The sequence below is a fragment of the Homo sapiens genome, chromosome 16 (genome assembly GCF_000001405.40).
Source record: "Homo sapiens chromosome 16, GRCh38.p14 Primary Assembly".
In the NCBI taxonomy this organism is placed as follows: Eukaryota; Metazoa; Chordata; class Mammalia; order Primates; family Hominidae; genus Homo; species Homo sapiens.
In genome coordinates, this window is record NC_000016.10 from 51,749,280 (window position 1) to 51,762,487 (window position 13,208).

A 13,208-nucleotide genomic window follows, 5' to 3' on the forward strand; every position below is an offset into this window, starting at 1 on the left:
AAAACTCAAACGAAAGACCAAGATATAATGTATTTAATCACTAAGGCGTTAGTATTAATGAAAGTTCTACAAATTAAAAAGAAAATGAGAAATGATTCGAAAATCGACATTTGCAAATTATGTGAACAGGAAATGCTATGAAAGTGAAATATGAGTGGCTAATAAACTTATACAAAGGTGATCTATTATTCATTACTAATTGAAAAAACACAAATAAAATAATACCATTTTTTCCTTAAAGTTGGCAAAAGTTAAAGATTGATATTATCCAGAGCTAGAAGAAGGGGAAAATGAGCCCTGTATATATTGTTGCAGGTTGTAAATTGGTACAATCTCCTTGTAGGATTTAGCAGCCTCTGTAAAAAACTTGAATTATATATATTCTGATCCAAAACACTCTATCTTGCCTAAATGCATATGTAAACTTTCTCTTTCTCTCTAACCGTGACTCTTTCTCATCCACACACAGGCACACATATGCACACATATGTTATGTATATGTGTATATGTATGTATAAATGTTTGCATGTATACACATACATTCACAAGAATATTAATTCAGCATTATTATATAAGAAAAATCTGAAGGCACCCTAAATGTCTCTAGTTAGACCGAATTTTCACATACTGACACAAAGGATATCCACAACATGTTATTGAAGGGAAAAAAGCAAGTTACAGAAATTAGACATAGCTTCAAATGTATATCATGGTATGATATGTATGCTATGTAAAAAGCTGTCATGTCATGCCCTGGCTCCTTCAAAGATTGTAATGTTAAAATGAGATAGTAGGTAGTTATGTGCTTTGTAAACTGTGAAGTGCTATAAATGTTATTAAGATAAGGCAAATCTAAACTACACTTTAAAAACTTTAAAAATATATTCATTTATTTAAAAGCTCTATGGCTTTCATTTAGGATCCATATTTGATTTTCCCAAGAAGATGAAGAAATTAGGTAGTAGGAGTCTTTGCAAACTGCTTTTCGGTGCATTGAAATGCAAAAAAAATAGCTCCAACTAGACCTATCTAATTTTTCCTCAGAGGAGAAGATCAATCAGCAAAGACAACATTTTGCTTTTCTCTCTCAGTCCTTCCCTCCCCTGAACAAATGCTTAATCTGAATAACAAACTAATAAAAAATAATTTGGAATCTGGGGCATGATTATGGCCACGAAAGACGCTGATGATCACTTCATGTGATCAGAGAAAAACCTAAAATAGAGCACTCTTCAATTACCATAATTTCTACTGTCATTGCAATTTCTGTACATAAAAGCATTTGGTCTGAAGCACAACAAATTTATCTGTAAATTACACAATAAAGGATGGGAAATGGACTTTCCTTTAAAAGAACAAACAGAATCAGTCATTTATGGGGACATCTTCATCTCAGTCGACATGTGAATACAACAAAATGCACACTCCATTATTGTATAAAGTTGTGAAGCTCGTCACCCAACCCCACACCCACCCTCTCCCAAGTTTAATTAAACCAGTATCACACTGAGACTGGAAGGGAAACACAATGATACAACAACAAACAAACATTAATCATGATCATTACATACATTTTATTACATGAAATAAATAATACTGTGGAGCTTTCACCAACCGATAAAGCTCTTCCTCTTGGATAACATCCGAAGGCAATTGAGGGGTAAAATAATACTAATAATGATAACAATAATTAGTATGAAAAGGAAAAAAAGGGTTTATCACCACACAAAGCAGAAACTATAGCCTCCTTCACTTATATTAATCTCATATTCGCTCATTTCTTCTGTTTAGGGTCTAATAAGGATTTCTTCTCATTGAGATAAATGAAAAATAGTTTCTTATTTATAGCCTGACTTTGGTGTACATAATTCAACTCTAATTGCCCTAGGGCAGGAAGAAACATGGAAGATTCTGTCAATATTCAATCCACACTTATGGGATTCTACCAGGAAATAGGAGAGGGGGTTTTGAATGCTCAGACTACACGGGAACCAAAATGAAAGGGAGAGGGAAGGGTGTTTGGTGAGACTGAAGACAATGGTTTTTGTCCTTGCTGGAGAAAAGGCCAAGCCCCCAGTCTCACTCTGTTCCAGGCATTTTCTGAACTAACTGAAGTTCTCCCTGGTTTGTCTCTGAATCAGGAATGAGCACCTTCTTTTGTTTTTCTTTCCAGAAAGAGGGCCTCCTGGCATTCTTTAGTATAAGGACCATGTTGAGAATTGCCACTAAGCATAGAACATGGCTGCCTAGCCCTATTGTCTCATCTCCATGTGAGGACAAGAAGAAATAGGTCCTCTCCTACAGAGAGGCCCAGTAAGGGCCACTTCACCAGCCAGACATGAATCCCACTCTACAGCCTCACTAATTGTCCAAACTTGATGTGTTTTTGTTATGTGCTGCCATGATAACATCTTAGGTAGTCTCTTTTAACCAACAAAGACACCCAATCTGCCCCAGCAGGCCTCATGATATAGAAATAGATATATATTTAGGAAATAGCTTGTGTTCCTTCTCAAAGACTCCTGGACATGTAATTGCTCAGAAGGGTAATAGAAGATTCCATTTCAGTCTTCTCTGGGAATTCCAGAGAACTGCCTCAGCCTATTTTGAAGAAAGAAGGGATGATTACATGAGGATCTACTTTTCACTTCTTTTGAAAAGTTTTCTCTGTTCCACAACCTAACTTCTGTTCTTGCTTGAATGAATCTGACTTTTTTAATGGCTTACAGTTCAGGAGGGGGCCCTGCCTCTAGGTTTAAAATGGTAGCTCTGGATCCATAGGCATGAATAGGTGGCCCTCTGGCCCCGGCACTGGGGCCTCTTGTGTGATCTTTTTGGAGCTTGTTGGTTTGGCTCCCAATCCAGTTAGGAAATAGAAGTAGATTCACATAGGGCATTGTCCTTCCTCAAGACAAGCTATCTCTCCCTCCTAGGCGGAGTCCTTGGTGGAAATGCTTGAGATCCGCTGTACACAGAGTGTGATCAGGGCTCCCTTCTTCTGGCATCTCACACATCTGGCCCTTTCTCCTGAAGATTAATCAGAATGGGGCCAGTTATGAGGAGGCCATTAGGGTTCTTGCCCCTCCCCACCCTGACACTTTTGGACAAATAACGAGAGAAGGAATAGGTGAGCTGACACCCTCCACAGCCTCCTCCCTACCTTAGTCCCTCAGGGAACATCTCCTGCCCTCTGCCAATGAATTTCTAGGGCTGCCTCCATCACAAATACTCTGATTAAAATGTAAATTTAGCCAACCTATCAGCTTCCCATTAAGGGGACTCTTTAAAAATGCCGTTAATCAGCTGAAAGATATGTAGTGAAATACCACTCATCAATTGTAACTGCTTATGACAGTTAACAAAGCTTTATATTTGCCCCAAACATGTGCTGATCTATCCATTATGCCAAGGTTCACTCTCACGCTAATTGTACATTTTCTTCTCTAATGCATTTTTTGCTGTTATCTCATAGGCTAATGAAAGCCAGGAAATCAATAAATATAAATTATACATGCAAAGAAGGACTGCTGCGAACATAAAGTTTCTAATTAATTGCACTTGATTAATTTATATCCTTTAATTATCTTGCTAAGCCACAAACAACATAAATATCTTTGCAATCTGGTTATTGCTATGTCAGTCATAAAAAAGCAGACACAGTAAATCTATGAAATCTAGCAAACTGCATTGCCAGAAAACATGGAATGGCATGGCCCATAAATATTACTGGACTTACTCAAGGCACCTATGAATAATTTCAGTGTGACAAATTAACACTAAATATGTTGTATGGTTATTTGACGAAGGTTATAGTGATGTGATAAGTTTAAATGGTGCATATGGAGTAAGCAAAAATATAGATTTTACCATTGGGCTTATAAAAATCTGCTCAAGCTGGGGAGGAGTAATGTAGGTAAGGACCCACATGCAACTAACCTGTGTAGTTTTGCAAATGGAAGTATTCTTTGCTGGCCAAGTTGAAAAACAAATTGTTAATTGTATTGTTTCTTAGTTTCCCTTAGATAAGTTCGATCAATAAAGAATCCATTTCTTCTGCAAAGGCAAAACTAAAATGCGTATTTGAAGAAGAAATTTAAATCCAGGAACTGAGTACCAGGTTGGGAAGAAAGCTAGACGTTGCATGCTGCTGTTGTCTTAGAAGATGCAACTTTTACATGGAAAGTGGTTTCTTTTCACCCACTACCCCCCTCTTTTAATTTTATCTGACTCTGCTAAGCCAGCCATCTGTCACTGATCTGAAATTTAATCCTCTCTGTCCACCAAGCTTTGCTCTTTGTCCTAGGCCACAGCATATTACCAGCATCTATATCTACAACTTTCATAAATGTGTAAAAAGAAACTGTATCTGTCCTCAGCTACATTCAGACAAAGACCATCTGTCAGCAACTGCAGCCATTCTTTAAAAAAGAAAGCATCCAAAGGGATTTGCCCTTTACCAAATAAACCCACTTAACCCTTCCAATAAGATTAACTGTTATTTGTTTCCATTAAATAAAAATGACCATACTAATATACATTTAATAGTTCTGTAACAGTTGCAGAAAGATCAGCTCTCATGTGGATATCTTTTGTAGATAAAACATACATGCATATAAATAAAGGAATTATGACAGCAACTAGATAACCTATGAGGCAGAGGGATGTTTTCACTTCCTTCCTCCAGTGTGGGGCTATGAAAGAGAAGCCAACATAAAATATAGAAGCCAGCGAGTATCATACTCTCCTGTTCTTCATTTTTACAGTAAATAGCACTCTAGATATAATAAATGGCTGAATACACACAATTATTAAGATTCAGAGTCTGTCCTGTGACTTCTGCCCTCTTATCACTGTACATTCTTGGAGACAGTTTTATAGCTTTTAGGCTACCCATTTCTAAAGTCTGTGTATGTATGGTATACAAATATACCCTCACTGAGTAGCACTGTAATTATGGGAAATCTGCTGGTGGATGGGGAAGAAATACTGTTTAGTGATGCTAATGTAGAACTACAGTTAACATTTTGGGAGTTTTGTCTCCTATTTTCATCTTAAAGATGGCCAAAGTTGTTTGGTTTAGCATTTCAAAAGCAAAATAAATAATGCATTTGCTTCAGTGGAAAAAAACCCAGGCAAATTTTCCAAACGCTTATCTATTCTCTAGATGTTTATGGACATATTACTCCAGTTTTTAATGCCACATACTCAAACTAGCAATACTCAAACTAGGAAGGCCAAGTTCTGCCCACAGGGTAGCTGAAGTGCACATTTCAACTCAGAGTTCATTTGCCACCAGATCCTGATAGCCATCGTGATACTTTCAAGTGCCCAGGATTTTCTGTTTTTTCACTTAGAAACGTGATTACTTGACCGGGGCAGGTATATTGTAGGTAACTGGGGTAGGGTGGGCACACGAACCAGTGGACAGGAAGCAGGACACAGAGAAGACGCTTCCTGCCCTGGTCTGGAACTCCTCAACTGCCAATCTTTGCTGAGGATCAAGACACATTTGTTTCTGGAAGGTGCTGGGGGATTAGAAGGGGTGAGTGGGAAACTACCAGGCAGATGAAATGACTTTGTTTCTTTCTCCCCCCTTGAGCTTCTAGGTTTTCTCCCTTAAAACATTTTATGAAGTTGTGACTATTCAGTTTCAAGGGAAAACCCAATCAAAAGATTCCCCAATCTAAACATATACATTTGGCATTTGGTGAGCCACGTCTGCTTTTCTCCTCTCCTTGAGAGTGACCGTAACTCCCTATGGCCGTTTTGCTTTTCTCAAATGCTCAGGTGGATGCTGCAGCCCCGCTCCCCCAGCCTACTCTTAGCTTGTCTGAGACCTCTGCAGTGAGAGGTGAGCGCCTCAGCCCCAGGGGTCCCCTTCTACTGGGGGCCTCGGCTCCAGGATCCAGACTTTCAGCTTCATACCCAGCAGGTAGCTAGGCTGCCTGCTGCGCCTCGTGTCTCAGGAGGGAAGTGTTCTGTGTTGTGTTTGATGTGGGTGTCGCAGTCACTAAGGAGACAGGTAAATTTCCCAGTGCTGGAATCAGATTGGTGAGGAAGACCTGCTCCTGAGGCAACTGGCCTGCCTCCCGGCTTCTTTCTCCAAGGTAATGAAAAAGCCAAGCTGGGAAGGCAGGCTGGTGACAAGTATGGTCCCTGCGCATTCCTCGGGCTGACGGTAGGAAAAATACCAATGCGTCCAGCAGGGAGGAAGTATGTATCTCCCACTGGAGTTCACTGGATTTGTCATTTTCGGTTTAATGCACCTAGGTAGCAAGCCGACTCACTAGGTTTGACTGCAATTACCTTATCTTTCCTATTTTTAGTGACAGGACCAGATTATTTTAAGTGCATTTTATAGAAAACCCTTCTTTACTGAAGTATAAAGACTGTAATAAAGACAATACAATGTTTTGAAACTGTTTTAAATCCTTCACTCAGCGTTGCTTCTACAGATTTAACATGTAGGGGTTCTAATCTTACCGCTACTAATTAGAGCTTTAGTGTAATTGTGCCAACAGGGTGCTTGGCATAATAATTACTATTGAGAGATTCTGGTGGCGCAGTAACATGCCTACATAATGCAGATATGTCTAGGATTACAGTGCAGTCACCTTTGTATGTTGACTCAAGTTGGATTTTAACCAAGTAAGGGGTTATTTTGCCTTTATAATAAAGCTTAAAAGGCATATACATATGTATGATTTAGGTATCCATTTTTCCTCTTTGAGTCTTTTGAATATTAATTAGCAGGAACCCCAGAAGGCAACAGGGACACATTTTGTTTCAAATATCTCACAATCTGGGGCAATTCACTCTGTAAGTGGGATTGTCCAGGCCTGTGTGGCAAAGAGTCTATTTTGATGCAACGGTGCACTGCTCCTAGATCACTCCCAGGGTGAGGGTGGAATCCTGCCTTGTGACAAGCAGGGTAAAGAAATGGGGACTCTGGGGCCAGCCAGGAGCTGGATTTGTTTAGGATGTGTTTCTTGTTTCCAAGAGGAATCTATAAAAACAGTTTCTCAGTAATTCTCTAGCACTTACATCTTAGAAAATGTCAGGCTAGTTTGGGGAAATCTAAATCTACCCCAGACTAGGTAGTTTCAATGATCATTATCCCTATTCTCTGTTGTTTGCTATAAAGCGGAGATCTAAAAAGACTTGTCCAGGTGGTACACGTAGGAGGTATGTGGAGTGTGGATGTGTGTTTGCCTATGGGGGACACGTGATCATATATACTAGTCCTTCTTCGCCAGGGACAGACCTCAAAATTGGGCAGGTGGCCTTGATGCTTCCTCCAGATTTATCAGGCCACTAGCAAGGGCCACGTTGGTTGGTTTCACTTTGAGTCATGTCAGCTCTAGGGAGGCTCCTTGCCCGCTGTGGGGGCTTCCTGCCGCTGATATGCTGGGCACAGAAGTGAGCAGATACTCCATGGACTGGTACCGATACATTGTAATGCACACACACAGGACTGCTGTTTTGTGTGCATGTGTATTTTTTGTGTGTGTGGTTTTTATTTTTGGCATATGTGAAAGAGTTTCTGCAAAACTGATTTCACAGAGCAATAAGTCACCTAAGAGGGTGTCACCAGCCATTTAAAGTGCACTACTGAGGTTTTTAACGTAATAAATATATTCGAAAGGTAGTGTGTCACGGCCCGGAGCCTGGACTCTAGCTCCATTTAGCTCCGACAGCCTTGTTTTTACTGCCCCTTAGCGCCTCACTTTTAAAGTGACAGGAAACTAATTTCTGATTACAAATCAATGGGTTAGGGTGTCACCTCCGGACAGTGAATTTAGCTGTAAATCCAAGGAGTCACTCATGAGCCTAGGAAATTGGGGGTCAACACAGAAAGGCAATTGCTTTATACAATGAAAATGGAAATACATTTGCGAATACAGCTCTTCAGAACTCGGTCTCTGGGGAAGGCCCAGGTAGCTCCAGCCTGCCACTCAGTCCCTCCTAACAGGCCCAGGGCCCAGCAGGATGGGTTTTCCAAGTGCCTCCAATGTGGCCGCAAAATTTCATTTTGCTGTAGAGGCAGCAGACTTTCCCCAGGCTGAGGCCTGAGTGAGGTCTCTTTCTCCCCGGACTACGCCGCGCCTTGGCCACATCATGTTAACCAAAACTATCTATGCTCCTGTCATGTAAGATACCTTTTGATGAGGCCCCTTTTTTCTTTAAGCTTTTAAGATAATCTTAGAGAAATCATCAAGCTATAAAAAGAAATCAATGAAAACAGAAAAGGTTCCCATCACCCCGAAAAAAATCCATAACTTTTGCATTTTAATAGAGACGCTACAGGACCAGACCCGTCATTTTCTTTCTGATGTGTTCCTTTGATTTCCCGCGCATCTCACAGGGCTCTTGACTTTCTTGAGAAAGGGATTATTGAATTGTGTGTCTCCCTCAGATGTACTTGATCACTCAAGTATCTGTACTTAAGAATGTTAGAGTCTGTTCAGCTGTTGCCTCTTTGGGAGCTCATCGGGGCTTGTCATCTTAATATTAATTGGGTTTTGTGCAGGAATCTCAAGTCCCACATTGAGTGGCTTTCAAGAGAGAAGATTATGCCTAAAGCCAGATACAAAGACAAACATATTTAGCACAACAATTATGATAATTGCAGAAACATTCTGTCATGAAATAAGCAAATCTGATTAAGAGCCCTTCTACATTAACAAATATTAATCTGATGTCTTCGGTCTAACCTGGTTTGAACATAAGAGGCTTCTTATGGTTTTATGTATTAACAGATTTGTAGAAGCTGAACATATAGAGCCTAATAGTATGAGACAGCCAAGCCAGGATAGTAAAAGGATCTTTGCTGAATGTAATCCACTTAAATTTAAAATAGACACAGATAGGATCATAAACCTCAAATCAAAATTAAAATGCACCCTGCCAATGAGACTTTTCCTATCATTCCAACCACATGGTAATTCAGAAACATATCATGGAAAGCATTATTAGTGGTCTTTTTTGTTAGAAAAAAAAATGAGGTCAATATCTTTATGGTAAGTCATCACAATAAAACGGACAGTCACTTGAAACTTTCCAGACATTCAACCTGGTTGGATATTGGAAGCAGTGATATTCTTGCCAAGCCAGAGAGTTAATTTTATTTGTAATTTTCAGCTGCTTTCAGTTTAATTGCACAATTTCCTTAATTATTAAAGTTCATTCTGCATACTTAAGTTCATTAGCTATTGTCAAATGGGCAAATTACTTTGCAATTTTAATATTTGTTGGACAAAGCTGTGTTAATAGATTCACCTCTCCAAACACAGTTTTCTGTTTTTGTTACAGTATCCATCAATAATTGTAACCCTCCAAATCAGGAGGCAGAAACTGTATCATTTTTTCCTCTTTTTATGAATATCTCTTAAATGTTAGTGATTTTAAGCACACAGGTAGGCTTTTTTGTTTGTTTACTTGGGAAGGAGGGAAACTGGGGAAAGCAGCAGCTCTAATGACAGGCTTTGAGTCTTGCATAAATACATATGAAAACGTATATATGATAGTGAAACTTCTCAATATGTGTATGCAATTTGCATATGTCTGATACAGTCATATGCACATAATATAAACCTATAAAAACACAACATGGACTTGTGAATAATCAATAAATCAAATTTTCAATCAGGTTTTTGAGTCATTAGGCTATGTATGGTATGATACTATATGTTATACGATGTATATATACCTATGTGTGTACTTCTGTAAGTACATATTTATGTATATTTTAATTTTTCCGGTGATACATTCCATGGTATATGTGACTGCTGGCATCAGAAAGGCAATCTCTCTCTCTTCCTCTCTCTCTCTCTCTCTCGCACACACACACACACACACACACTCACACACATTCAACATGGAGCTATTTAATGCTTGTGTCTGTAGACTATATTTAAATACACATCCATGCTCTTGTAACAAAAATGTCACTTTCTATTTGGCCCCTTGCAGTTATGACACACCTTTGCCCCCATTATCTCATTTGACTCATGGATATACACTTGTTTCCTCCTGTAGATGCAGTTTACCACCCCATCTTCCAGGTAAAGTGATTCCTGAAATGTATCAGCACCTCTAACGTGAAAACAAATGCAGCCCAATCTGCTGCTGTCTGTGTCTGCCCTTGTGCTCACAGACCCACTCCAAAATGTCTGGGTGCAGATAGGTCCAGACCTGGAGGACAGAATCCCTGCCAGCATGGCTTATCTCCCCAGTAATTAGGCTTGTGTTTCTGCTTTATTAACTCCAATACAACAGCACCCTGCCCTCTGTCACCAGGGGGACTAATAGATGATAGTCGGCTCTGATTTGGAAACCATACAAATTAAATGACGAAGTGAGAGGAAGTGAAGTTGAGGCAAATTGTGTCAAGATAAGGCGGTCAGTCATTTACATAGGAGTTTTTCAAATGTTAAGCAGGGAGCTTTTGATTTTACATCTGCAGATGCAAAACTGCTAAAATAAATAAGCCCAGTTTCCTTGCTGTGTTTGTTAAACCTCAACAATATGTGAATTCTTAAATGATGTTAGGAATAATTGATTGTGGATGTTTATAACCAGGGTAACTTTTCTTCTCCTGAAGTCCCCACATTTTATTGCTTTTCCTGAGAAAGATTTTCTTCTATTAAACATAGATGTGAATCCATGTGTTTATTTTCCCAGGAGCATTGCAACAGGTCTCCATCTTCATCACCTATAGGGCAGATTTGCTTTTACATTTTTAAAACTCATGTCCTACCTCTCTAGGAGAAACAATCAAACATCTTCTGGAAGATTAAAATTACCCACGGAAAGAAAATAAAATTGAATGATGGAAAGAAAAGAAAAAGAGGCTGTCCAGCAAAGCTGATTTCCATCAGTCAGCTGCGGGAGCTGTAACAATTTGTTTAGCAATATGATTTAACAAGAAGCATTAGCTCCGGGTATGTAGCTGCCGGGTTTTGAGAAGGCTGATGAGATGTGATTATCTCCAAGCAGAAATATCAGGGTGGTTAAAAGATAATTTGAAATGAGGTTAAAAATGAAGCGACACTAAGCTTCTCTCACTTGTGTCAAAACAATCCCATCTTTTCTTTTCTTTTCTTTTTTTCCCCTTTCACTTTGATGACATTTGCTCATATTGGAGGTGGAGACATTTCTCATAGCAAACTGTAATCCTTGACTAATTTTAAATTTAATGTGGCTCTGTTTGAAAGACAGCTCTAAATTTTGATCCAAAATCAACTTCTGGATATTACAGAAAGAATTTGCAGTGTTTGTAATATTTGGTGAGCCTTAAAAGTTGCTATTTTTCACACAACTAAAGTTTCATTTCACTACGTTAACTATATTCACGGTATAAACAGCATATGTTGATATGATAAATGACATTTGGTTAGAAAATGTCTTTGAACTTTAGCTTAAAAAATGAAAACAGGTAAAAAGAAAAAACAGAATCAAATGTTAAAAACCATATGTTAGTAAATGAATATTCTCTTTCAGATTATTTAATGACCTTAAATATAATTACTGCTCCAAATGAGAAAGTTTCAAAGCCTGAGAATATTGCTTACTTTGAAAAAATGTATTTTAGTATTAGATATATGTATTCATCATCTAAGAAAAAGAAATCCACATAGCGATATTTACAAAATAAAGCAGTAACATAGGTGAGGAAAGTTAAATATTATCTCTATGTACATTAAGAGAAACAGGAATTGAGTCGCTTGCTGAAAACTTCTAAAAAGTCCATGACAAGACTTCAGATCTTGTTCTTTTGTGTAAAAGATGCTCGGGCCATTCTGCCAGTTTTAAAAGATTAATGAACATTTAAGAAAAAGAAGCCCAAAGTTACCGTGTACACACACAACAGAACAGCTGTGTACTCACTCTTTAGGGCTGTGACTCACAGTTCAATCTGAGCAAGAAATGCTTGGAAATTCTAAAACGCGACATTCACCTCCATGTGGAAGGAAAGGCCTCAATGTTCCCCTCCATCCCTGCTTAATCAATCAGTTGTGAATCAATTCTGCAGTGACTAATCGCCCCCAAACCCCCTTGCTCCACCATCTCTCCCTAGTATGCGGTGCTAGAGATGTTTACGCTGATACGAGGAGATGACAATTAGTCATATTTATCCGTGCTGGGTCCATTTAATCCCCAGTGTTTTTACTCATGTCAAATCCATTATCCCAAACAAAGCTTCATACATCTTGTCGGAGATGCTCACAGACTTGCCTTGTTTACTTTGAGAAGACAGATTTTATGGCAACATTAAATACATACTGAACCCTAACTAATGGAGCCACTTGGCATGGTGAAGCAATTGCACTGGCAATTCCTATCACCCTTAACCCATTGTTGTTTAACTGGGTTCTGAAAACCCAGGGACTTCTGGCTGTGCCTTGGGTGTTCCGAGCATATCCTAAATTTTCTCCACGATTCTACATTTATGATCATTGCACCTCAGTGTTTCCAGCAATCACATAATGCAACCCCCTTCCCCCCAGTAGCCAGAGACACTTTTTCCCGAATGCCTTGAATCTCCTCCTGGCCGCTCTCATGAGTAATTTTTGAGCCTAATAAAGGAACACCTCCCTCCCCGTTTGTTTATTTAGAAAGACAAAATGTTAGGTGCTCTGTTTACTTACATTTCTCAGCACTTCTTTGTCTTCCAAACCATTTTAGCTCTTAATATGGAAGTTTTATAAGTTATTTTATCAGAAAATGCAGACCTTTGCTAGTTGACATGAACACTTAGGATGAGGCTGAGTGCTTGGAAACCCCTGACTTCACCAGGAAAAAAAAAAAAAAAAAAGTAATATGTGGCATATGTTAACATCTAGGCCTGAAAACACAGCCAGTAAGAGTGGCGCACACTAAAGGAAATCACTACTTAATTCCACAAACATTTGTTTCAGTCCAGGAATGGCACTAGAAACTTTGAGCCGTCTGTCTCCTTCCCTGAGCCGGTCGGGCACACGAGGGTCCATAACGTGCGGCGCAGCGCCATCTGCTGGCAGGCCACTCCTGGCCGCCCCAACAGCCGGCAGCCGCGGATGGCTCTGAAATCCACACGGCTTGGTGCCTCCACCTTCGTCCCCCGGGGCTTCTCGCTGCTGGGGAGTCCTGACTGTACTAAAAAAAGAAAGAGAGAAGGAGATTGTGCCGGAGAGAAAAAACAGTGCTGGAGAAACCGTTTCCAAAGA

The 13,208-nt window shown here is 39.4% G+C and overlaps 1 long non-coding RNA gene across 1 annotated transcript in view; it reads right to left on the reverse strand.

Annotated features, from left to right (window-relative positions):
• LOC105371257 (uncharacterized) overlaps window positions 1–13,208 on the reverse strand; it is a 52,702-nt gene that overhangs the window by 30,201 nt on the left and 9,293 nt on the right. The window contains exon 3 of the long non-coding RNA XR_001752182.1: window positions 12,651–13,137. This is a non-coding gene — a long non-coding RNA (uncharacterized LOC105371257). The remainder of the gene's footprint in view (window positions 1–12,650; window positions 13,138–13,208) is intronic.